Raw genomic sequence first — 27653 nt, forward strand, 5'->3', positions numbered from 1 at the left:
TCTGGACCACCTCTGATGGTCTTTGCCCTCTCATTATGGCATTTTTCTTTCCTCCCAACCAGCCTTAGAAATATTAGGTTCTGCTGAGTACTTAAGCAAACATCCAGATATTTTATTCATTCATTCACACATTTATTCAATAATGTCTGAAGAGAAAGCATAGCCTGATGTATGCTCCACGAGACTAGCAAGAAGTTGACATTATAGCTACACTCTCCAAAGTATATGTCCTAGGTCAAGAGATGAGACATACTGAAGGAACTCTCATGAGAGGCGTACTCAGGGCTGTCAGAATTTAGACACGTGAGAGCAGCTCCAGCTACATGACCAGGAGGGGCTTGGTGAAGCAGTTGGCACCTGACATGGCCCTGGAAGGTCAGCTGAGATTTTGATGCATAGGAATGCAGGACCCCCATTGTAGGAAGAAAAAATGACACAGACAAAAGCACAGAGGTGGAAGATCAGGGGGTCTACATGTGGAACTTTGGGTGGTTCAATCGGATAGACTGGAGGATACTAGTAGGAATTATATTTGGAACAATTGATTTTTCTCAGTTAACATTAATGTGTGACAAGAAGACCAGAAAATTCACCAGAAAACTAGCAAAGTATAACGTGGGAGATTTGCAACCAGAAGGATTACTGTTGTTTCTTCCTCCTTTGTTTTCTCCCTTGTCGTTATCCCCTTAAGAGCCCAATAAATCACAGTTACCAGGCTAGAGCATAGAAGGATTGCTATTATTTTTTGGAGATAGGGGTCTCACCCTGCTGCCCAGACTGGAGTGCAGTGACTCTTCACCAGCATGATCATGGCACACTACAGCCTTGAATTCTTGGGCCCAAGTGATTCTCTCATGTCAGCCTCCCAAGTAGCTGGGATTCCAGGGGCATGCCACCACACCAGGCTTTAGAATAATTCTTTAGAAAGAATTCAGTAAACTCTGAGCCAATCCCTGCTGTTCTGAGTTCTTATATCTTGGAGACTGCTTAAATTATAGGTTATGTGCAACAGTAAAACACAGACACAGCAAATCACAATGCTGCCCATGTTAAAAAAAAAAAGTGAATGTTGATGTAATATTCAGAGTTTTATAAAACTATGTGATAATGTTGCCCAAATATTTATTCCAGTATTAAGAACCTTTCATGTGGTACTATGCTCCCAGCAATGAGAATCTTAAGGAAAGAAAAATTCCCTTCCTTTTGGAATTGATAAATCCTCTTAATTCAAAATTAACATTATTCTTGATGTTACTCTACTGAGAAGAAGAGTGCACAGTATTTTTAAAATCTATTCTAACCTTCAGTAAGTGTCCTTAACAGACTTGTAGGAAATGATTTTATACATTTTTCTCTTCCTAAACCCTAGTGGCTGATGGCATTTGGATATAGAAAAGTAAGAAAATTTACCAATTGGGTTTAAAAATCTAAAGTATAACACAGTTATTGGTGATGGTAAGGGAGTAAAAAGAAAAACTACAGAAGAATTCCTTTAAACTACTGATTTAGGTGATAAAATTGAGATGAAATCCATGGTACAACTTAAATGTGATGCATCTTACTTTTACTCTAGGTAAAATCATGAGGTCAGATCAATGTAACGGAAGTTGTATTTTAACATATGTATAAGGTGGGGAGAGGCAGTTTGAGAACTCTGAAAGCATAGAAAAGTATGTATTTATATTTGTTGGATTTCTGTGATATATACTGACACCACTTTGGTCCTGATCTTATAGGAAGTCAGAACTTCGCATTAACAAAGCATCACTGGCTGATTCTGGAGAGTATATGTGCAAAGTGATCAGCAAATTAGGAAATGACAGTGCCTCTGCCAATATCACCATCGTGGAATCAAACGGTAAGAGATACCTACGGTATTCTGTTCCTCAATCTGTAACAAGAGTAATCAAAACATGTGGTAAGACTCATAATAGACTGGTGTGTTAAATCTCATTGTGAACAAATTAAAAACAGAGAAAGAAAACCAGATGTTTCAAGGATCTTGTATGTCTTTCATAAATTTCTGTACTCTATGAGATTATATAGACCTGAAATATACATATATTTTTTACAAAAGGATTTTAATAAGGCCATGAATGGCAGAGATAGGTTGGGTTGCTAAAATATAGGGGCTATACTATTTTTTTAAGTTGGTCAGTGAGGGCAGTCAAGTCTTTGGCTCTCTGAACAACAGAATACAGTCATATATATATACAGGATATATATACACAATATGTATATATGCACACAGAATATATGCATATTATGTATTATATATGCGTTATATATGTATATATGTTTACGTATATATAACATATGTATTATATATGTATTATGTATGTATTATATATGTATTATATATATTACATATATAATATGCATACATATATAATATGCATATATTCTGTGTGTGTGCAGAATACAGTCCTGACTCAATTCTGGCAATTTTATTCCCATTACATCTGGCATTAGGTAGTAGAAAGTTAAACCATTAATTTTTTTTAGGCCTATTAATTTTGAAATTAGGACCGTCTTAGAGGCAATAAATTTCCTACTAGGAAGAGGCTTCATCTTCAGCTTTGTTCAGAATAGTACCAGGCAATACTTGTTAAACAAATGAATGACTTAGAGGTAAGAAATACAATCCACCTCTGACAACTTCTGTGTTATTCCAGGAAATTAAAAGAACCACCCCGATGGCTTTGTGTTTTGTAATAGCCTGATACTCCATGATTTGATGGAATCATCTATAGGAGCTGATGATGATGATGACCTAGCAATGCTTCTTTAAACCTTTTAGAATAATCAAATGCTATTTTAAAACCTTTAGTGCTTATTTATTTATTTATTGAATTATGGCACTTAACTATTGCCTTTACAAAATTTGTCATCTGTTATATAACCAAGCCTAATTGCATCTTCTTGGTAGGAGATGAGAAAGATTCTGCATTTCAAAGGCAAGCGCTCTTAAAGTGATAAGGTAAAAATGCCAGGTCAGCACAGGCAGAGTTAAAGTAATTTTAAGGGTTAATTCTATGGGAGGCTGATGTAGTTTTTGTCACTTGATTCTTCTGTAACATACTAAGAAAGTGAGAAGGGAGATAAAAATCAGAAACAGGGCTGGGAAAATTCAGGTTAATGCCTCATCCTCTCTGGACTTCTCAAGGATCTGCTCCATCACAGAGTAATCAAAGTTTATCACTTTCATTTTAAATGTCTCCCTCCATAGAGAGTAAAGGAGAGCAGGGAAAAGGAGTTTCCATTACCATTAGGAGTCCTGTTTATTACAGTTTAAAATGTAAAAGCCATTTAAAATTTATATGAGTAAATATAGCATCACTTTATTTTTTAACCAGGGCAGGTTAAGCAATAATAGTTTGCTAGTATTACTTTACCCCACGTAGAATTCTATAGGATGCTACCTGAAACACACATTAAAAAATTAATTTTAATGGGCTGTTTTTTACTTTCTACTATAACCATTGTTTGAAGCTCGTTCTCCTTAGTTTGTCACTGGCTTGGTTCAGTGTGTTTCCTCATAGTTAATGGTATTCAATTGTGATTTTTGACACTTGGATTTGATTCGTGTAGCTATACCACAAAGTCCCAGGAAAATAAAATTAAAGCTAGTGTCATAGTCTCACTGAGTGTCTACAGAAGTATCATATTGATTATTCCATGGTTTCTGATTTACAGGATTAAGCAATGAATTATTTACTACTATATTATTCCTGGCAAAAACCCATAGAATTCCTTTTTTATTAATTTGGGGGTACTGAAAGTTTGATAATATGGCTTTTTACATTTCTTACATAGGAAAAACAGCTAATTCATTTTTTCCACATTAATTCACTGAAGTCTTGGTCTAGTGATCAAATTTGAATATGTAGTGTTGACCAATTATAGGGTAGAGAGATGAAACTCGAGGTGTTTTTGATAATGAGTCTTTTTTACCTGGCAAGAATAAAGAGAAGTTCATGGAATATTTTAAGTAAATCCTTCTTAAACAACCAACAAAAATTCTTTCAGAAATAGGTTCCTATGGACTTATGTAATTAAAGCCTCTGAAGAATGAGAATGAAGAGTCTCAATTGCAATGCAAGTTGGCCTTCTTTTTATTCTCTTCTTGGAATGTTAGGAATAGATCATCCTTATCCAACCCCTTCATTGTATTAAAAAAGAATAAAAGACAGCATAGAAAACAGACTTATTCAGGATCACAGAGATATTTAACAGCAAAAGGAGATATGAACCCAGGTTTTTTTTGTTTTTTTTTTTTTTGTTTTTTTTTTTTTTTGCTTCATTCCTACCACAGTGCAGTTCCATCTGTATCTGAAATGTTTTTTGTGTGTGTTTTCTTTTTTGTTTTTTGAGACAGGGTTTCACTCTGTCACCCAGGCTAGGGTGCAGAGGTGTGATCTTGGCTCACTGCAACCTCTGACTCCTGGACTGAAGGGATCCTCCCACCTCAGCCCCCTGAGTAGCCAGGTGCATGCCATTACGCCTGGCTAATTAAAAAAAAAAAATTTTGTTTGAGATGGAGTGTTGCTATGTTGCCCACTCTGGAACTCCTAGGTTCAACTATGTTGCCCACTGTGGAACTCCTGAGTTCAAGAAGTCTACCCACCTTGAACTCCCAAAGTGCTGGGATTACAGGTGTGAGCCGCTGCGCCCAGCCTTACTCTGTATCTGACTATATGCTTGCAAATGTTTAAGTGAGATTCTTTTGCTTATAAAGAACAGAAGCTGAAGGAATGGTATGAGGCCTAAGGAGTGAGGGATTCTATGGCGAAGAACTAGAACTTCATTATAACTCAGCCTCGAGGAGATGGAATTGTATGCTGAGCATCTCTGCGAATTTAAGCAATGCGAGTTTGTGGCTTTTCTCTCTGGTGTTTCTACCTTTAATATGCTTCTGATAGTTTTAACAAAAGTTACCTACCTTCTCACCTCTCCTACTTTCAGACTCCGCCTCTTTATAATTCCAAACTTTGACCTGTTTCTTGCCCCCACGTGGCCATATTCTTCATGGCAATTTCAGGCATTCTTTCAGCTTTAACCTCTACTGTATGATTGTTTCCTTGGTTCCCCAGTGAAATTCCGCAGACCAAGAATCCTATTAGCAAAGTTGATTGTTGCATATTCATTAAAAGACCTAGAGAACTTACAAATTATCTGCTGTCTGGTCATACGTCCACTGCTGCCTCAACTAGGGAGGGTGGAGCCGGAAACATAGCTGCCCGGAAGCTCCTCTCTTCAAAGTCTGGGGGTGGAGCATGCAGCTCACCTGGGCCTGTGGCTTGGCAGGCACCATGATTGACAAGGCCAGTTTCCTGTACATTAGAGGAGATACCCTTTTTGCTCTGCACCTTAGAGTCCTAGTTATAGTGCATCCAGAAGGAAAATATGTAATCATCTTGATCCCTTATCCTCTTCCACTGCTATCTAAGAATTTGCTATATTCTGTTCAATGCTTGGTTGTCAAAGAAGCCTCAGTTGGGTTCTGAGCTCTCCGGGGCTTAGATGCACTGCCTTTGTATTGTCTCATTCCTGTCTCCCTAGGAATCAGGGCAGACGTTGCACAGAAACACTTTTTCTGAGAGAAAAAGGGCACTTTCTACTGGGTTTATAAATTGCCGCACCACTGAACCATGTCTTCCTAAATAGATATTTACCGTTGACTTGGGCTGATAGAGAGTAGAATTCTCAAGAATTTCCTTCCCTCCCTCCTTCCTTCCTTCCTTCCTTCCTTCCTTCCTTCCTTCCTTCCTTCCTTCCTTCCTTCCTTCCTTCCTTTCCCTCCCTCCCTCCCTCTGTCTGTCTCTCTCTCTCTTTCCTTTTTTTTTTTTTTTTTTAAATGGTGTTTCGCTGTGTCACCTAGGCTGGAGTGCAGTGGCAGGATCTCGGCCACTGCACTGGATTCAAGCAATTCTCCTCCTGGATTCAAGCAATTCTCCTGCCTCAGCCTCTTGAGTAGCTGGGATTCTAGACACCCCCCACCACACCCCAGCTAATTTTTGTATTTCTTGTAGACAAGGTTTCGCCATGTTGGCCATGCTGGTCTCTAACTCCTGACCTCAAATGATCTGCCCACTTTGGGCTCCCAAAGTGCTTGGATTACAGGTGTGAACCATCACACCCGGTCAAGAATTTATTGTTTCATTGTGGATTCTAGAAAAAAAAAAAGTTGTTAAAATAAGAACATGCTGTCAAACTATTACATTATGTAGAACTCCCCTTGAGATTTTAATTTATATTTTCTATGAACTATCAGTCACTTTATTAATTTCATTTTTTCACCTTTTCTATGTATTTCCAAGAAGCTCATGGCTATAGTTTCGAGAATTTCTATACAGGTTTCCTTGATGAATGATCCTTGTAGGTTGCTGCAATCTAATTATCCTAATTTTTTCCTATGCAGAGGATTCCTTGTGATTCACTTAAATTCTCACACAGTTACTTTTTGTATGTTCCAACATGTTTAGAACATATTTTGATACAAGATTCTAAGAGAGATGGGGAGGTTGGGGGAGACATTCGTTGGAAGCTGTTTACTTTCTCCCCAGATGACCTTGCTGTTTGGCATGATGTTTAATCTCATTAAGGAAGCTATAGTAATTATTAAAATAAAATTAGATCATAAAAGTCTTCTGCAATGAAACTCATTGTTTAGATCTATCTGGATTAGTGACTAAATATAAACGAAATGATTAAAAAATTAGGAAATTCCCCTTGAAACAGTATATGCTTGGGTGTAACAGTGGCCATACTTATACTGTTTTCAAGCACTTAGAAAATAATACAGTCAAGCATTTTGCCAACCTACATTTTAGAAATGTAGGTGTTTTCTGTCTTTTCCAATGCCTTTCAACCCCTACTTTATTCAGAATTAGAGAAAGTAATTTATCCTGTAGTAGACATATATCAACCTATGCAATCTGCTAATTACTTCTGGGACAATGTAAAGCTTACAAAGACCAGTTGGGTTTTCATATAACAAAGGATCTCATAGGCAGTAATTATGTGATAACTTATGAGTGAATTCCTTTCATGAATTCGTATATGACAGCAGAAAAGGCCACATACATCATGTTTACACACCCTACACACTATATGTTCATTTGTATTTGTGGTTTATTTGGCTCAGTCTGTATATAGGAAACCTTGACTTAGCAATTAATTCTTAGCTAACAAGCTTTGTGAAAACTCCTGGGCTTTAGAGTAGGGAAGAGAATAATAGACTTTACTGGTTTCCAAATTAATTAAGTAATGCTTTCTTTTAAAAGATTAATATAGGAAAATATACAACTAATCAATCATATCTTCTCCTAAGTTTTCTTTTTTAATCAGAAGAAAAATTATTTGAATGAGATTCAAGTTCCCACAGGAGCAATTGGGCTTGTAGCAAAAAAATAGCTGTTTCATTTGAGATGAGCAGAAAAATATTATTTTTATAAAATTTAATTAAATTATCAATTGCAGCTTTTAAAAATAGACTCATACTGGTAATAGGCTTCGCCTTACCCCCTTTCCCAAATTGATAATGATGTTAGAAATTTCACAATATTGGGAAACAACCTGCAGTTATGTTGAAAAGCATGTAAAATATGTTTTATAATTTGTATAACAGTCTACATGTATATTGTATTATGTAGGATGCCCAGGAAGGCAAATACATGAGAACAATATGAAAGCAATAGGGTAGATTTGTCTTTTCAATGTATGGTATCCATCCTGTCTACACTGTTTATTAATTTCAAAATTTCTCAGTTGCCTTAGAGTAAGCATTCATTATGAACAGGAAGAATTCAGGTACTTAAAGATGTTCCTTAAGTTATCTTTATAACTGCTAATAAATAAATATGTCCACTTTTAAATCTTTTAAAGAAATCACTTGATCAAAATTTTTGTATGTACAGCAGTGACATATAAGTTTGGTAAAAAAGTCACATAAGTGAATGTTGGAATACACACAGACACATTTTATGTATGTTTGTATATACTGTATACAATGTGCATATGTGTATTTTGCTACATAATTATATTTAGTGTATTATGATCATGATGAAATTGCAAACATGTTACATTCATAATAATTAGAAAAATTCCTTTCTAGAAGATATCTTTGAGACCATGCAACTTTTTCCTGAGACCAGACCCCGTTTATTAAGAAAGAATTCAAACATTACAAATATACTAATGTTCATTATGTTTACTTGCCTGTTCAGCATAAGTTGCTCAGCTGTGTTCAGTTTCTGATAATTCTAAAACCTCATTAATTTGCACTAATGAAGGGGCTGTCCTTTATAAATTAACAAATGTAATATGCCAAATTACTATGGGAAAATATGTTGCTTAAATAAACATCATAAAGATTGCAGGATTTAATGCTTTTTTAAAAGTCTGTAAGTGTAATATAAAATTACTTTCAATTTACTTTTAACAAAAGGCTGTTTTCCAAATCTATAAATTCTACCCATAGCACACATAAAAATGCTTGCTGAGTGGTTTTAATTAAAAAGATTAACTTTCTTACTAGCAAGATTCTTTTTACAATGAAGACTCCTTTGGTGTAGAAGTATAGGTTAACTTTTGAGCTTGTATTTCCTCCAGGGTTAATTCAGAAAGTTTGTATTTGAAACCATAATCATTAAAGATATTTTAAGGTCTCCAAGATAAATACCTGATTTTAGGAAGAGGAGTTATTTTAAGTTGTCTCTGTGTAGATGCCTCTTTGTAGTAACCTCCTGTTCTGGTATTTTTAGGTAACATTCAATTAAAAAATGAAACATTATGGTTAACCTTCCCTCTAATCTGAGGTATTTTTTGCTGGAGATAGAAAAGTTCTGATTTTTTTTTCTTCTTGGAAGGTCACAGTGGACAGCTACTTTGTTTGTCAAAAATAAATTTGAAAAGAGTCTTGATATCCGAATTGGGATTGGGACTTCTGCCCAGCTCTAGTTGAGCACCTTGGGTTTACGACTTCATCTGGTTGTAATGTCATTGATGAATCCTGAAGGACAAGAGAAGGAAGCATCTCTCTTAGTGTAGGTCCTTTGTTTGGAAACATGGCCCTTCTAGATATTTCTAGAGAAGGACACACACTTTGTATCTCTAATATAGTTTCTTTGAGATTACATTTTCTCAAAGAAGAACAATTTCATTTTCTGCAGCCCAAATCAAGAAAGCTTGTTGGTGCTGCTTCAGAAACAGATATCTTCATATTACCAATTCGGAATATCCTCTTTCTCGCCTGATGCTTGAGAAAATCCTGAGAAAATGATGTACCCTCACATACTAATTCCTTTCAGTGAGCCCCATTTTTAGTGGATGTAAGAGCCAACGTAGGCAACTTTGATGTATTGAAACCAAGCTTACTCCTTGCATAGTTTGCCCTCCTAATCTGTGATTAGAGAGGATCATCCACACTTAATTTGCAGCAGAAAGACACATTTGGTCTTACTAAAGGTTTATTGCTAATCACTTGTTCTTAAACATTGCTGCTGAGTCTCACATGACTTTGTTTCCCTTTCAATTCCACAAAATCTTTTGTCCCTAGAGAAGCTTCAGAGTTTGAAGAAATATTGGCGCTTAAATTGATTCTGCTTACCTGCTAGACTAGTCCAATCTTGGAAACCCTAAATGGCCATATCTGTATTTAAAGATGATTATATTAGTAATAAAGTTTTCTACTCCATTATTAACAGAATATTAATTTAAACATAAAATTATATATGACCTGCTTAGGATTCTCGGTTAGATCTCATAATTTTTGTACAGTAGATAGTATCGCAGTAGATTCAGCTTATCTTTTGTCCTGGTTAGAAAATGTGAACTACCATTAAGTCATTTGGCAAGACTTATGACACAGTGAAACTTGAATGATATACATCATTGCATCTCTACATCTTTCCAGGCTTCATAAAACTGTACCTTTCCAAAAGTGTTAGATTCTGCCAAACTGAAGCCCTTTTCAGAACTGAATATGGAATTAGACAGTGTAACTACCCATTCCATCATAAAGGCAGTAAGAAAACAAGTTGAAAGTTTGAATAAGACTGTCACAATCCTCATGAAAATGATGTATCCAGAAGTATACAGGTTGGATTCATCCTTCATTTCTTTGGGTGGGAGCTGCATACTTACTGCCTGGGTAGCTAATGTCTATCATATGATAAGCACCTGTCTTCATTCTCACTGGCAATTTTAAATAGAATTCAATGCCAGAACTTGATGTTTTTCACCAATCCTAATTAGAAACATGGCTTACTTTTATTTTTGAACAAAAATGTACTTGTTCAAAGATCTGTAACTTAAAAATTCTTACTACAGCTTGGCAATCCGATAGCTTTGACTTTCTTAGTTCCCCTATTTCGACTTTTCTTCCTGAGAAGCCTACTGCCTCTTTGACATAAATTCTTCCTCACTGACCCAAGTGGAGGCAGTGAATGCTTCCTAATTATTTTAGCACAGCTGATTTTATGCTCTTTGCATAAGAAAGGAGAACTATCAATTTGGACTGTCTTTCTGCATTTCTCACTCTCTGTATGGTTAAAGCCTGGACTTTTCTCACTCCCTTGCAATACTTCCTTCCTTTACACTTAACTTTTAGTTCCAAGGCAGGCTGTGGTACCTGCTCCCGGCCTCCTGTTTATATATCATAATGTCCTATCACCTTTTTTTTTCAGAGATCATCACTGGTATGCCAGCCTCAACTGAAGGAGCATATGTGTCTTCAGGTAAGGAAAATAAGCCTGGCAAATTTTACTAACCAGAATGACAACCATAACTGCTGGCTGCTCCTTCTACTAATCAGAACCCCTTCTGCATCCAGACCTCTCAGCTGCTCTTGTTTTCTGCTTCAATATTTTTCTCAACCTTGTTCTGTCTTTTTGGATTTTACTTAAGGGAGGATGGTTCTTGCTGTGTCTTCAAACTTAGGCCTGAGAAACATACATGAGTGAAAGAAATCTATATCTAGGTGCAACTTAATGACATTAAGCAAGTAAAGGAGATATATCTGAGTTACAAGCTCAGTTTTTATGTCTTTCCAGGTGATTCTCTTAGCTGCCTTCTACTCTTTCACCCCTCAGAGTGTATTCCTGGGTAATTTGTCAACATCTGATCCGTGACCTTTGGGTTTCTAATAATCAGTTGTGGATCGCTAAACTTAACAAAACAAAACAGAACAGAACAGAACAAAACAAAACAAAAAGACTTACAGCCTTTAAAAATGCTGTTGTCTTTGTTTTGGTTGGTTTCTCACTTGCCTGTAGTATTTGCTGATAGCACTTATAGTCTGAGCAGATATTAGCAACTTAGAACCCAACTCTAGCAATGCATATATAACCATAATTCATTGATTTCTTCACAAGCTATGAATTTAATCTATCCTCTATGTATTTCATTTTTTAAACTTTTTCTTATTCTTTGTAATGCTATAATTAATAGAGCCTTAGAACATTTAAAAATTAATCTTTATTTGGAAGAAAATTTTTGAAGACCCAAGATTGGAAATTCATCTCAGAGGTACAATGGTAATTTGGTTTTGCATGGTGCCTTTTCTTTTACAAAAATTCTTAAATTTCATTTGATAATCACAATAAACTTGTGAAACAAGACATCATTTTTCCTCATTTTACAGATGAGAAAACTGAAGTATTAGAAATGTTAAGTCATATACCTCAGGAAGTAGAAGAGAAGGTATTTCAAGTTCGATATTCTTTTTATTACTCCACATTTAATATTTTAGCTTCATTGAGTTTTTCATTATGGCTGGTACCTTGTTGAAACTATAGAATGACCTATAATCAACATGTCTTTTTCCATCTTACCTCCATCATTTCCTCTTCCCTTCAAAGCCATTTTTTAAAACCATAAAAGCTAAACATCTCTGTATCCTAGACTACTTTAGCTATATTTAGGACATATTCATATGTCATTACTAAGATATAAGTGTATGTGTGTTGCGGAATGGTATGATCCTGGAGTCTAAGAGGTTGTTACTCTTCTGAGGAAAGGAAGGAAGGAAAAAAGAGGAAAAGAGAGAGAAAAAAAGAAAAAAAATCACATATTCTAAATTTCTTCACCTTTCATTTACACGTTTCTGTAATATAGGGACTTCGTTATCTGACTCCAGTAAATGCCATTAGGAAAAAAAGAGCTTTTACATTTATATGGAACTTATCTTGGGAAATTGACTATAACTATTATTTCTTAATATGTGACTTGAATCTTGATAACTTTCTGGCTGTTGACTTTCAATCCTTCTTTGATACTAAGACTTCTTTATTTCTTACTAATGAAAACCCATCCGTTCCATGCTTTTTTCGGCATGAGTCATATTTTTCATTCTCTCTGTACTTAATGACTGTTTTTTCTTCTTTTATCTTTGCTACCTGAGAAAATCTTGCTACTAGATATCCCCAACTATTGTATGATTTATTTAATTAGCATGGTTTGTTTGATCCTAATGTAATTATTCTATTGCTCTAGCAGACTTTGCATGGACTTTTCAGCACTTTCTGGTCCGGATGTTTATGCAGATCCAAGTTGCCTGGAAATACTCTCAATCTTGTTTGTTTATTTATTTGGCATGCATGAAAATTGGCTTTCACTCTCTTGGAATCCAGGGGCTATTCTCTTTGGTTTCATGTTTTCTCAAAATCAAGACCACATCTGAAAGAAGGAATTTTCTTTCTCACCTGTGGTGTGTATCTCCTCAGAGTAGTCTCTCTTGGAAGTTCAGATAATGCTTGGTGTGTGGGATATTCTTACAGATGGATTGACTCCATTTTCATCCCTTTTAAAAGTCTTTGGGTCTAGACTATGGTAATATTCCTTTGTGGTCTTTGAGTATTGCATTCTGACTTATAAATGCTTCAGCTTCTCTGTTGCACGGTGTTCTACTACTCTTTTACTAGGCGATACCCAAGCCTGGCAAATTTCTAATTTATGAGTCCAAGCAGCATGACTCAATAAAGCCTCATTCCACTTTTATGTTTTATAGAGTCTCCCATTAGAATATCAGTATCCACAGAAGGAGCAAATACTTCTTCATGTAAGTATACTTAAATATTCTATTCACTGGTTTTTAACCCAAGGCACTATCTGCTTTGGAAGGTCATGTTCACGTCTATCTTCTGCCCCTATTAAGGGTCAGAGTATTGAGTTTGGCAATAGGTGGTATTTGCTGTTTGGAGTAGAAATGGCCTCCTAATATGCTTAAGGACAACTAGACATCCTGTCCTCCCAATATACATAAGAATATTAAAATACACCACAAATGTATCAGTTTTAGGGTAATCTGGTGGCTTTGAATATTGAAAAATAATTGCACAAGTTCTGAGGCCTAATTCCTGGCAAGCAGTAGAGCACATTGTGTGTCTTTTCAGCTTCTCTGGATGCCTTCAGCAACTGCCTGAGGCATGATACCCAGCTGTTTGGAGCTTCCGTTCCAAAACTTCTTCATTCTCATATAAAGTTAGCTGTGATGGAGTAAGAAAACTATATATAGATGCCCTTAATTCAAATTTGATAGCAAGTAACTGATTATGAAAATGTTTGAAAGCAAGCCCCTAGGCAAGATCTCAGATTAGTTTTCGTCTATTTAATGTGAAATGGGCTTTGTGCTTGTGGACTTCTATAACTGTTAGATTGATTGGGGTTTTGTGCTATGTCGGGGGAACTTAAAATATTAGCAAGGACTAGTATAAAGAGTTTTTGATACTTATAAATTGAGAATATCATCGTATTAAATTTTGATACTCAACAGGGGAGTTTATCAAACCTTGAAAATTAAACTTATAACTACAGTCTTTCTCTTCCTTATGTTAGCTCCTTATTTAAAGCATTTCTCAATTTGATAAGCTCTTCAATAAATAGATGTTCCTAGTTATTCTATTTCGATCTGGGGAGTGTGTTGAAGGAACAATTTCCTTTTGCTATCAGCAGGGTAGGAAAACTCATGAAAAGAAAGTCTGTCCTTTTGGCAATTTAAGTTGTTTTGTCAATCTGTTTAAATAAATCCTGTTTGATGTTACAGCCTTTCCCTCCAGGTTGGTGATACTAGAACTGTAACTATATGGTATAAAATTATCTTTTATTGTGTGAAGTATGGTGTTTTGGCTATATTTTAACTACATAAAGCGTCATTTAACTGGATTGATGGCAATAGCCTGGTGAGATCAAACAGGAAATGAAATGCTAGAAAGGGCCAAATTAGTTTCCTATGTGTTCCAAGGGCTCTCATCATATCCTCCAAAATGATAATTTCTGCCGGGGAATTTGTGCTATTTGTTTTTTAATTCTACTTATAAAAAGATTAGTATAATTATATGGATTTTATGTAGCTAGCATCCAGGAATCACATTGAGCTTTTTTTTTTTAAGTGTTTATTCTGCAGAAGCAAATACTAGGTTTTTCTTTTTTGGCATTTTGTCTGGAAATAATTTCTCTCCTGTGTGATTCATTGAATAAAGTTATTGAAACTCTTGTAATTGGAACCCTTCATGCTATCATCAATGGGACCATAGATACTATCCTTAAGCATATCTGAGCAGTTTGAGAATGTAAAAAAATACTTTTGGTTTTCCCAAGCTTTGGGGAACTGAAATAAATCTCTCAGTTTATGTTTCTATTCATTGCATTATCACTGAGAGAGAAATAATTATGAAATCTGACTCCATTCCCTAATTCTCAGTAGAATTAGTTTTTGATATTTGGCAATGGTTTAAAACTAAGAAAGGAAGCTTTGTGTACCATGATATTAAAATATTTCAATGTGCCATTTTCACACATCAGTCACCCGGGGTCATGGTAAGTTCTCAGTAAATATGGTTGAATTGATTCATGAACACATTTTTTTGTGGAACTTAATTTTATTAGGAGAATATAAACAATGAATATAATAAACTAGTAACACGATATATTAGAAGGTGCTACGTAGTCCAAAAATGAGAAACAGTAGAGGAGGGGAGGGGATAAGGAGAGTTGAAACTTGTGATTTTTATTAGGTTGATCAAGGTAAGTCTCATTAAATTGTTGATATTTGGACAAAAAGTGGAAAGAAGTGAAGGGTTAACTTTGCAAACATCTAGGGAAACTGGCTGGGCATGGTCGCTCATGCCTATAATCCTAGCATTTTGGGAGGCCAAGGCGGGAAGATTGCTTGAGCCCAAGAGTTTGAGGCCAGTCTGGGTAACATTAGTCAGACCTCAGCTCTACAGAAAATTGAAAACTTAGCTGGACTTGGTGGCATGCACTTGTAGTCCCACCTTCTTGGGAGGCTGAGGTGGGAGGATCACTTGAACTCAGGAGGTTGAGGCTGCAGTGAGCTGTGATTGTGCCACTGCACTCCAGCCTGGGTGACAGAGGGAGACTCTGTTTCAAGAAAAACAATCAAACAAACAAACAAAAAAACATCTGGGGAAACTGTATTTAGGCAAAGAACAGGCTGTACAAAGGCCCTTAGACAAAAGCATGGCTCATGTGCCGTGTAGGGGACCATAAGGAGCCCTGTGGGGTTGGAGTAGAAGGAACAAAGGGATGAAATATAGAAGATGAGGGCCACAGACCCTGGGGTCTGAGCATGTAGTGCCTTGTAGGCCATTGTCAGGACATTGGTATTTAATGGAATCACTCTGGCTCCTGTGTGAAGAATGGCTCACTGGGAGGAAGGGTAGAATCCAGGATCCCAGTTAGGTGGCTTTTGCTGAGAGCATAGTGGCCTGGCCCAGGCTGGTAGCAGTAGAGGTGGCAAAAAAGTCAGTCTGTAATAGTTTGAAAGTCAAGCCAGCAAGATTCCCTAACCAATTCATTGTGAGGTGTTAGAGAAAGAGAAAAGCCATAGGTAAAACCAAGGCTGCTTTTGTTTTTGGTTTTTAACTTTTGGTGTTCCATTTGATTTTCTTCTTTGGCTTTTTCATTATACTTCTTCATATTAACTATTGTTTTACTTGTTTTTTTATAATTACAATATGCATGTTTTACTAATCCTAGTGTGTTTTTTAAAATTTTAGATTCAGCGGGTACATTGGCAGGTTTATTACATTTTTTAATCTCATGAAAATATGCTCTTCAGTTTGAAAATATAAACCAGTCGTGGCAGGAACCAGGTCCAGTCTTAGTTACAATAATGAAAATAGCATGAAGCACACAGTCCATTTCAAGGCAGCCACACGCAGGACTTGCATTGCAGGGAACGACTGTGAGGTACAAATATCTCCATTTAGTAAAGGCTGAAGGTGAACCTTGAAGAGTCAGCAATAACAATAAGCCAAACTCAAAAATGCCAAATATATAAAAAAGTCAAAGGCCTCAGAAAAGTTTGCCTGGTCAAAAATAATCAGCTTCAAAGAATAGATTTCTTTTCACTTTATTTTAGCCAGCAAGGAGATGCTAGTAAATCCCTGTATTTGAAAAGCGAACTCTGCTTTTCTAATGTGATTGTGCCTGTACCGGCTACATTCTTTGAACTAATGACATTGGTGTTTTCTAAAGTAAATGTTGAAAAGCCTCTCTGAAGTAGTATGGATTCAGCAAACATTTTATGTATTAAACAGTTCTCTGCGATTTGGGGGTCAGTGTAAGACAGGGGAGGCTTTCAGAGCAAACAGATATAGGCAGAGGAGATGGATCTGACTTCACAGCCCCCAAAGTTCCCTTTTTTCCTCTTTAACTCATGTTGGATTAGAAGAAAAAAAAAAAAAAAAAAAGAGCAGGCATGGTGGCTCATGCCTGTAATCCTAGCACTTTGAGAGGCCAAAGAGGGAGGATAGCTTGACACCAGGAGTTCGAGACTAGTCTGGGCAACACATTGAGACCTCATCTCTATAAAAAAATAAAGAAATTAGCCAGGCTTGGTGGCAGCCCTGAAGTCTCAGCTACTTGGGAGGCTGAGGTGGGAGGATCACCTGAGCCCGGGAGTTTGAGGCTGTCCTAAGTTATGGTTGAACCACTGCACTCCAGCCTGGGCAACAGAGCGAGAACTTGTCTCTCTTAAAATAAAAACAAACAAAAAAAGAAAGAAAGAAAAAGAAAAAAACAAAAAGAAGAAAATAGAAGTCACTCACCTACCCTTCTACCTACTTAATATATTATAAGCATTTTTCTCATGTTTTTAAATAGTAATCAGAAATATATTTTATAGGTCACTGTAACAATAAAGAAATCATTCTTGACTGGAGGTTTTTAAGGGATTTTTTCATTTACAAACACATTATCGGTTTTGCCCCCTTTCTGTTTATTTTTCCTACCACTTGTAAATATTAGTGAAATATCAAAGTTCTTAGTCCTTCCCTTTGTAAGACAATTTTTACTACTCAATTTTTGGAAATTGGAAACTTCCATTGTTCATTCACTAGTTTAGAGTTGTTAATTATATTTTTAAGTTCTTTATACTAATCTAATAAAGATCAAAATTATAATTTTCTTTATTTTCTTTTGTTTTTTGTAAATGAGGCATCTGTGACTAAAAACTTATAAATAATTGCCTAAATGAGTTTTCTATTACATGTAAGTGACAAGTTTTAGGAGAAGAACTTGAACCTTACAAAACAGTCAATAGGACTATCTTGCTGCTCCTTTTATAGAATCAGCAGAAGTAAAGTGATTGTTTGGAACAAGCCTTAATGACTTCTTCTGGAGATGCCAGCTGCTGGTAGCCCCATTTTGCAGACAATTCTGTTGAATACCATAAAAAATTGTTATACCAACCACTTTGCTGAATTAAGCACCATCCATTCCAATTTAATACATAAATGAGGAAAACAAAACGGAAAATCTAACAAATAGTAATAGGAAAGAAAATCAAGATAAATCCCGGGAAAACAGTTGAAGTGGTAATATCTGTTTCAAATATGAATAACAGCAAGCATTTATTGAAGGCTTACTGTGTGCCAGGTGTTGTGCTAGATGTTTTACATGGATGATGACTCATGGTTATCATGAAAACTTATTACACTGTACGTTGAAACTGATACATGTTGTCCAAAGTCACACAGCAGCATTTAACCCCAGATAATGCAGTGGACTGCTATGTCACATAACGTTTTGCTGCCTCAAAGAAAAAGCCCTTACTATTGAAAGAAATGGGATTCTGTGAGTGGATTGAAAGGTAGCCTTTGGCACCAAGTTTATTGGGAGTATATGTGGTGGATTCAAGTAAATGACTTGTCTGGGGCCAGTTGTACCCAAGTGATCTTCATGTTACACGTCAAAGCATGGCAGGTGAATGAAATGGGAAGAGCACAAATGCTGAGTGGACTCATGCTCTTAAGTCTAAATACTAATGCTGAGGACAATCGCGGTGGCTCATGCTTGTAATCCTAGCACTTTGGGAGGCCATAGTGGGAGGATTGCTTGAGCAAATTGATCATTTGAGCCCAGGAGATTGAGGTTTCAGTAAGTCATGATCTCACTACTACACTCCAGCCTGGGCAACAGAGACCCTGTCTCAAAAATAATAAAAGAAATAAATTCTGGTGCTGCTAATTACCGTATAATTTTAAACAAATTATGTGACTTCCCTGAGACTCAGTTTCATCTCTCCTCTCCTCTCCTCTTCTTTTCTGTTCTGTTCTTTTCTTTTCTTCTTTTGACAGGGTTTCTCTCTGTCACCCAGGCTGGAGTGCAGTAGTGCACTCATGGCTCACTGCAGCCTTGACCTCCTGGGCTCAAGCCATCTTCCTTCCTCAGCCTCCCTAGTAGCTGGGACTACATGCGTGTGCCACCACACCTGAGTAATGTTTTTTAGAGACAGGGTTTCGCCATGTTCCCCACACTGCTATTGAACTCCTGGGCTCAAGTGATTCACCCATCTCAGCCTACCAAAGCGTTGGAATTGCAGGCATAAGCCACCATGCCTGGCCCCGAGATTCAGTTTCTAGGTCTGAAGAATGCTATTTATTTTAAACATATATTGGGAAGTCTAATGTGAGAAAATGCATGTATATCATTTAGCACAACTTTGCTTTAAGATGGTCCCTTCATGTATGGAAGAGAGCTAGTGTGTGGAAAAGTGACATGGCTCTAAAAAGAGAATAAAAGTCAGAGAGTCTCTACATCTTACTTCAACAACGTTGGAAAATGCCCTTATTGTTGGAGAAGGAAACGAGTTTATGATTTTAGCCTAAGTGATGATGCTGACAGTTCTTTGCCAGGAAATCACTATGTCTTTTCAAAATATTATATATTCTCAGCTAAGGCTTCATTTTACAGGAACTAATCCAGGAAGTCTTCTATGAAATCTCTGAATGAAATGAACAATTCAGTTTTTAATTTGGCACCTAAAAAAGCTAGCTGAAGGAAAAGAATGTCTTTGCAGAGACATTTCTGTCATAATGAGATAGAATGGTTTCACTTGGGAATAGCACACTAATATGTATTGATTAGATTGGACCAGATCTGGGTGGTCCATTGGTGGAATTTAGACCCATGGCTCTTACATTCTACCCTCAGTTGTAACTGACTTACCTGCTTTTATGGTAGAAAAAAACTTCTGGGAGCTTAGCTAAATGATTCTTAGCTGGAAAAATGCCATTTCAATTTCAGATGTTTATTGGTCATAACATGTGAACCTCTCCTGCCACTGTTGGAGAGCTACTTTTAATTGAATGCAAATTGTGTTTTCAGATTTCTATAAACATGGCATTTTTCATGGGTTGGTGGCTCTGCCCACTGTGGAGAATGACAAACAAATTATCATGCATCATATAGCAATAAAATAATAATTCAAAAAGAAAATTGCCCTACTCATATTACCTCATCTTTTTGGTTGGCTGGAGAGTTACTTACAGATTTTTAGGATACTAGAGTGACTTGGTGCAAGAGTTGGGGCTCGTATATTATAGCCATTCATAGGTGCAAGCAAGTTACTGCCTTCACAATCAGTTCTTTTATTCTGTATATGAATATATCTTCTTTTTCTTTTTTAAACAATACTGCTTGCGAGTATAATTTATTTCTTCACTTCTGCCTTTGCCCTTTCTAAAGTCATTCACTGTCTATCATTGCATTCCACCAGTGGAGGAGAGAATCTAAAAAGTTTTGATTAAGCTTTGACCTTTCGTACTGGTTGAAATTAACGCTTTACAGAATTATTCTTTTGGACCATAAAATATGTGTGTGCATGTGTGTGTATGTGTATGAGATATAGATATAGATATAGATATAGATCATTGATACTTGCATCATACTTTACATTTTATAAGGCATATTTTCTTATTTTGAGTCATTTATTTATACAACTCAGTGGCTTAGATTTCATCCCATGGATGAGGGACTTGACGTTCAGAAATCTGTGACTTGTCCCAAGTCAAAGAACAAATAGGTAGTTCTAAAAAGAAGAGAAAGTCTACTCCTTATCTAAACAGCACATTTTAGGGAAGAATCTGATTGGCCCTGATTGCATCATGTCTGACCCTAAAATACTGCATCCAGGGAGATTAATGCCTCCAGCTGAGTGGGGGCTGGGGCACATATCCACTGCTGTGTGTGTTGGGGTTAGTGAGGGCAGATGGGCTCAGCCCCATGGGAACCACATGGTGTAGAATCATTACAGAGAGGAGAGTTCTGTAGCAAAAGAAGGGAAAAGTGAGCTAGACAGGAAAACAACAACACAATCATTGACAACTGATAAGCAAACAACCTTAGAAAAATCAGAAAATAGGTATTAGTAACAGAATTTTAAAGGAAAATTAAAAATAGGTGTTGTTGAAAATTGTGTTTCATTGGGCAGACAAAACTAAGCAGGATGAGCAATCTGAAGAAAATAATAAGCTGGAAAACTGAATATAATTGCAGTATCATTTTTTTAAAAGACTCATTAGTACCTATGAGCCATTATAATTACTCTTAACAGTGCCCTCTTTTTAACCCAGGAAATTCTGCATTTTGAAAGAAAGTAGAAAAACGTAGACAAATGAGTTACAGTTTTGAAATTAGAATGCATGGGAAGCATTTTGAAATCTGTAAAATATTCTACCTTTGATGTCAAAAGTCAGAGTACTTGATATGGATCCTTTAAAAAAAATCCATGATTGAGGAGATTTTGAAAAATTCCTAGTTTCTTTTACCAGAGTAATTGTATGTTGATTAGGGTTTGGGTGTTTTTTGTTTTCAATTTGGAAAGAAAAAGAGCGTGCTTAGCCCATTCCATATAATATTGTATAGAAAACTCACCAGGTCTTGTTCAATTGTGAGATAACACTGATTGAGGTTTTATCAGACTTATAGACATCACCATTTAAACCTAAACGAAATAACAACTCCGGTAGTTCATCTGTGGGCATCTTCCACTTTTCTCTGTCCCACTCTGTTATAATGCACCTCCCATACAAGCTGTGAATACTTAATTCATTTCTTTAATAACTTGCTGTGTATACATAGTTTAGCTAATCATCAAAAGTGTTGGAATGCCACTTTTCATTTTATCTCTTAGTCTACCAAAGGTCAGCAAACTCTCAAAAACCAATTAATTGGGTCACTGTGGCTTATAGCCTAGAGCTATGCTCATCTTTATTCAAGTCCATAACCATCTCTGATTTCAGGTTTGGTGTTTAGGTTGAATTTATCCATCAACGATGGGCTCTTTGGTTTGTTCTTTGCTGAGGTATTCTAGCACTACCTCTTGAGTGAATACCAAACTTTAAAGAGCTTTTTAAGAAATGTCAGAAGGAGAGAGCGAGAGAGAGAATGCCTGGCTTTGTGAAATGTTGCAGAAATTTGTATTTGTAATTATCACAAATTTAATCAGTCTTTCCTTTAAATTTTTAAAGCAATTTTGGACTATTCTCATTATTTCAATGGTAGGGAAAGTAACATATAGATAGGGATAGGCCAAGTGACACTTAAGGTCAAATAGCAAGTGAGTGGTGAATGTAGGTGAATTAAAATTGGATGGCCCTGTTTTTGCTGTTTGATCCTTAGATCACTGAAAACTTTCCCTCTCTTTTTTTTTTTTTCTTTTTTCTTTTTTTTTTTTTTCTTGAGACGGAGTCTAGCTCCGTCGTCAGGCTGGAGTGCAGTGGTGTGATCTCGGCTCACTGCAACCTCGGCCTCCCGGGTTCAAGCGATTCTTTTGCCTCAGCTTCCCAAGTAGCTGGGATTACAGGTGCGTGCCACCACGCCTGGCTAATTTTTGTATTATTAGTAGAGATGGGGTTTCACCATGTTGGCCAGGCTGGTCTTGAACTCCTGACCTCAAGTGATCTGCCCACCTTGGCCTCCCAAAGTGCTGGGATTACAGGTGTTAGCCACTGCGCTTGGCCAAAACTTTCCCTCTCTTTAATGAAAATGAATAGATAATAACCAGGTCCTACTATATTTCAGCATGAGGCTAGGAAATGTGTATGCATATTTCTTGGGAAGTGGGAGGTGGGAGGTGTAATGATTGGGGGAGATAAATAGGAAATAGTCCTTGGGCTGAAGGAGTTCGCAGCAAAGTAAAAAGTTTAATTGTGATTAATTGTGCATAATGACACGTAATCATAATGGGAAGTAAAATATGGCAAGAGGAAGACTTTCAAATTAAGTTTTTTTTTTTTTTTGTAATATTCCTTAAGATAGAAAAGCCAGCCGGGTGCGGTGGCTCACACCTGTAATCCCAGCACTCTGGGAGGCAGAGGCAGGTGGATCACAAGGTCAGGAGATCGAGACCATCCTGGCTAACATGGTGAAAGCCCATCGCTACTAAAAATACAAAAAATTAGCTGGGCATGGTGGCGGTTGCCTGTAGTCCCAGCTACTGGGGAGGCTGAGGCAGGAGAATGGCGTGAACCTGGGAGGTGGAGTTTGCAGTGAGCCAAAATCGCGCCACTGCCCTCCAGCCTGGGCGACAGAGCAAGACTCATCTCAAAAAAGAAAAAAAAAAATAGAGAAGCCATTTGTGGTTATGTAATTTAAAAGAAAATTTTGGCCAGGTGTGGTGGCTCATGCCTGTAATTCCAGCACTTTGGGAGGCCAAGGCGGGCGGATCACTTGAAGTCAGGAATTTGAGACCAGCCTGGCCGACATGGTGAAACCCTGTCTCTACTAAAAATACAAAAATTAGCCAGGCATGGAGGCACATGTCTGTAATCCCAGCCACTTGGGAGGCTGAGGCAGGAGAATTGCTTGAACCTGGGAGCGGAGGTTGCAGTGAGCTGAGATCGCACCACTGCACTCTGGCCTGGGTGACAGAGCAACACTCTATCTCAAAAAAATAAAAATAAAAAAGGAAAAGAAAATATTATTATTATTACTATTTTTATTATTATTATTTTACTGTTGTCTGTCTCCTAAAATAGCAAATTGTTGTTTCTACTTCATATTTATAGGTCATTTTACTAAGAAATCAGAATCCTGAAATTTATCTCATTTTAAAAGATGATGACATTCTATAATTTACCGTCAAGAATAAAAGATTAGTGATGATTGAAGGTGCTGGAAATTAATTTACACTAAATAGCATTTTGAAAATAGTTTGGGGAACTTTCTGAAATATAACTAGAAACTTTTAGAAAAACATGACTATAGTATGGTAAGTTGAATCATTGTTGATGAGCAGACACTTATCCTTGATACAGAGATGGATTTGCAAAGGCTATGTTACATATCCGAGGAGATACTTTTGTTTAGGCCATCTGGAAATGTGTGTATATGAAAAGGTTGCAATTTTATTTTTTTAATAGAGACCAGGTCTTACTATGTTGCCCAGACAGGTTTCAAACTTCTGGGCTCAAGTAATGCTCCCACCTCAGCCCCAAAGTGCTGGGATTATAGACGTGAGCCACCATACCCAGCTTGCAATTTCCTGAACTTGTTTTATTCATTAAGTAAGACTAGTTTTGTTTTTTAATTTTTATTTTTTAAAGACTTGAGTTGATCCAAAGAAGAGAGAAGTGGTAAATTTTAAAAAGGATGCCTAGTTATAATCAAGGAATCCAGTAAAGTAAATTAATCTGTTAAAATTATAAAACAAAAATTTTGCCTGTATGATCATTCCTCCCTCAATTTTCTTAAAATTCATGTATTAAGAGCAGTGACTAACTGACAAGAAGCTTCTGTGCCATTTGATAAAGATTTCAACTACAAATGGGAATTAAGGTATATTAAAAAATAAAATTCTGCATGACAAAATATTTAAAATGTTAGTTTTTAATGTTCTACACAAATATTGTCCTACATTTTAACCTAGAAATCTACGTATTGAATCAGCCTATAAAAATCCATTTCTTTCACAAATAATGTAGCTTTGAGAACAGATTTTTTTCAATAATTCTCAGTCTACAAAGCTATGAAAAGGAAGTTGCTGTTGCTGCATTTTTTTTAAGCTGTAAAATCTAATATGCCCCAGCTCTGATGAAATGTACCAGGAGGAACCTGCCTTGTCAAACAGGATATTTTTATGATGAAATGTGATACGAAGAGGCATAGCCTTACATATATCTGAGAGAAAATTATTTAAGTGGCCATAATAGATTTTTCAGAAATTTTGTACATTTCTCTTATTTGATCCAGATGCATTTTTTTCCTCTGTTGTTCTCATACCAGCTTCTTAATTTCACCTCCCTAATGTTCCACAGCATAAATACATCTTTGTTCAGAGTTTCTCCAAGTTATCTGTGAGAAAATAAACTATACAAAGGGTCCCTGGGTATGTTTTAGGATACATAGATTATGGGGGTGGGAGAGTTACCTTGTGTGTGCAAATGAGACTGTATGTGAAACGAAGATAAGGTTTGGAGGGAAATAGATGATTCAAAGATACCTAAGAGGTTTATTAAGACCTTTAAAAATGATTTTACAGTGCCTGTAAAGAGGACTGATATTTAAACTCATTCAGCTTAGTGAAAAAAATGAAGAAAAATGGAAAGTAACATGCACTACATGTGTACACACAGAAACAAGTATAATAAAACTTTCTGCCCTTTTTTTTTTTTTTTTTGATATGAAGTCTCGCTCTGTCACCCAGGCTGGAGTGCAGTGGCATGATCTCGGCTCACTGCAACCTCTGCCTACCCGGTTCAAGCGATTCTCCTGCCTCAGTCTCCTGAGCAGCTGGGATTACAGGTGTGCACCACCACACCTGGCTAATATTTTGTATTTTTGGTAGACACAGGGTTCCACCATGTTGGCCAGGCTGGTCTCAAACTCCTGACCTCAAGTGATCCACCCGCCTTGGCCTCCCAAAGGGCTGGTATTACAGGCATGAACCACCACGCCCAGCCCCTGCTTATTTTTTAAGGTTTCTAGAACATTGGCTGTGAACTTTTGGGTAAATAGTGCACATAACTCTTCTCCTTCCTTTTTATTTGAAGTGCAGACCTGGGTATATTTTATTAAAATAATGGTCTGAAATTATAAAAAATGTTCTTTGTCCAATCAAGGAGTAAAATCAAACCTTGTATTATTTTGTAGTTATACTCAGATGTTAGACTATCTTCTAGTCCCCAGCAGTTCACTCTAGGTGGTCCCATAGCTCTTGCTTGAACCACAGTCTTGCCACTTCTTATCCATAGTGATGTGCACATCAGTTCCCACACCAGAATGTAAAATACTAGAGGGAAGAATTTTGGTTGATTTGTGTTTCTATTCCCATAACTTATTACTATGCCAGTTCCCAGGGAGTATTTATTAAATGGATGTCAATATCAACAGTGAGTTAATGAATTTTTTTGTTGGATTATCATTTTTTAAGTTGTACACATTTACAATGAAAAGAAAACCACCTTCACTTTAAATCATGGGCACAGATATTTAAGTATTTTAAAATCAAAGTTTTAAAAAACTAACATTGGCTTAAATAATATTTATTAGAGAACTTGTAACATTTTAAGAAGCATTCACATTCTACCTATGTATATTTTAAATTTATTTCTGTTTTTTACATCTGGAAGATTTTTTTCATTTTATCATAAATACTTGTTTTCATGGTAATTTATAAAAATCAGTTTCTCCTTTGATAGGATTATTACAAATTATTTCAGAATCTACTTATTAACTGGTCGCTGTTCCTCTCTGTAGTGCTGAAGAGGCACTTGCTTGGGAACAAGAGAAGTGCCGCAACAGTGTCAATAACATGGATTTTTCATTTATTATCTTTAATAATAATAATAGATGACAATAATATATTTTAATAAGCATCTACTATGTGTCAGATGCTTTCTTCTGAGAATGGATATTGTTAGTCCCATTATGTAGATGTAGAGACTGATACTCAAGACAATTCAATATTTGTCAAGTAGTGGTAGAAGCAGGATTTAACCTCAGTCTTTCTGACTCTTCATCCTGTGTTCTTTTCACCCACAGATGGTAGAGGTTGAAGGCTCAGAAGAACACTTTTTGAGCTCAGAAAGCTCTTCTTGTGACCTCTATGCTACTAGTCTAAAGGGCAAATGATAATTGCAGCTACTTTCAGAAATGGTCCTTTTTCCCTAATGAGATGACCAAATCTGCTTTATGAACCCAGTTTCCTAAGCAAGATACAGAAATAGACACACCAATTTAGTATGATAAAAGGTGTTAAAGGTAGAACAATTTTAGGTACCAAATTATATTTATTTGATACTTGGATAATTTAAAAATAATGCCACAAACTTCATCCCATCTACCTCCCAGTGCGCACACATTTGGGATGAAGAGATAATGATGAGAATGACATTGTAGATAAAAGGTATATGCATTAAACATCTGAAATGCTTAGGTTATTCAAAGAAAAGAATAAACACACCATGTGATATGTAGCCTCAGCTACTTCATGTTTGAAGTTGATGGTAACATTCAGATCAGTTTTGAGAAGCAGACTGCAACCATAGCTTTTAGTTTAAGTTTCAGATTGATATGGAAGGTTATTTGTTTTAACAATCCCTATGTTAAGTTTTCTTTTTTCTATGTTTCAATTGACTTATTTTGTCAGATTTTAGGTTTTTTTTTTTTTTTCAGGCAAGATGGCATTCTCATCCCTGCTGTTGTTAACATTTAAAGCATGCAGCCTCTTGTGCTGTGGTGTAAATTCCAACTGACTGACGATAATTAAACAGAAAATGAAACTTGAATGGCACTATCTCAAAATCTACTTAAAGCCACAACAGGTATCTGCCTATAGCAATATATCAGTTGGAACACATGAAGAATAAGAAATTGTAGCATTTTGTGTCTGGGTTTATTTTTCTTTGAAATCAAAGAAGAAAAATACTGATTTTTCCTGGATCACTAAAACAGTAGTATGGATTTCTAAACAGGGCAGACCATACAAACACACAATTAATTATATCTGAACTTGAAATCTCATACTGTGCACTTTACCTCTTTTATACCAGTTGTAATTTCTCATTTATGTACAGATACTGTAGTAACTTTTTTTAAAAAAAAGAATGTATTATTGTAATTAAAAAGCAAATACTCAAGAAAGATAAGACACAAAGGATTAATTGGGATTACAACTCTTCTTTCTGTATTGAGTGCAAAAGCTTGGTGATCTCCTGAATTGTGCTTCAACAGTGACCTCAAGGCTCCTTCCAACCCCCAAGGCTCTCCTTTTTTAACATTTGTTATTACTTAGCTATTTTATTTGGCAGGGATCCCTTCTATCTCATCTTCTAATGCACTGGCAATGATCCTATTGCCAATAGCTTAGAGCCTACTGCTGCTGGGGTAAGCGACACAGCCGAACT

At 36.4% G+C, this 27653-nt stretch overlaps 1 protein-coding gene across 22 annotated transcripts in view; it reads left to right on the top strand.

Moving 5' to 3' along the window:
• NRG1 (neuregulin 1) overlaps window positions 1-27653 on the top strand; it is a 1134802-nt gene that overhangs the window by 964581 nt on the left and 142568 nt on the right. For 12 of the 22 annotated variants that reach the window (NM_001159999.3, XM_011544512.3, XM_017013371.3 and 9 more), the window contains exons 3-5: window positions 1737-1858; window positions 10689-10739; window positions 13010-13060. In NM_001159999.3, the coding sequence (NP_001153471.1) occupies window positions 1737-1858; window positions 10689-10739; window positions 13010-13060 (224 nt within the window). The remainder of the gene's footprint in view (window positions 1-1736; window positions 1859-10688; window positions 10740-13009; window positions 13061-27653) is intronic. The other 10 variants (NM_001160001.3, NM_001322202.2, XM_017013367.2 and 7 more) reach the window with 2 other exon arrangements.

Source organism: Homo sapiens, chromosome 8, assembly GCF_000001405.40.
Source record: "Homo sapiens chromosome 8, GRCh38.p14 Primary Assembly".
Taxonomy (NCBI): Eukaryota; Metazoa; Chordata; class Mammalia; order Primates; family Hominidae; genus Homo; species Homo sapiens.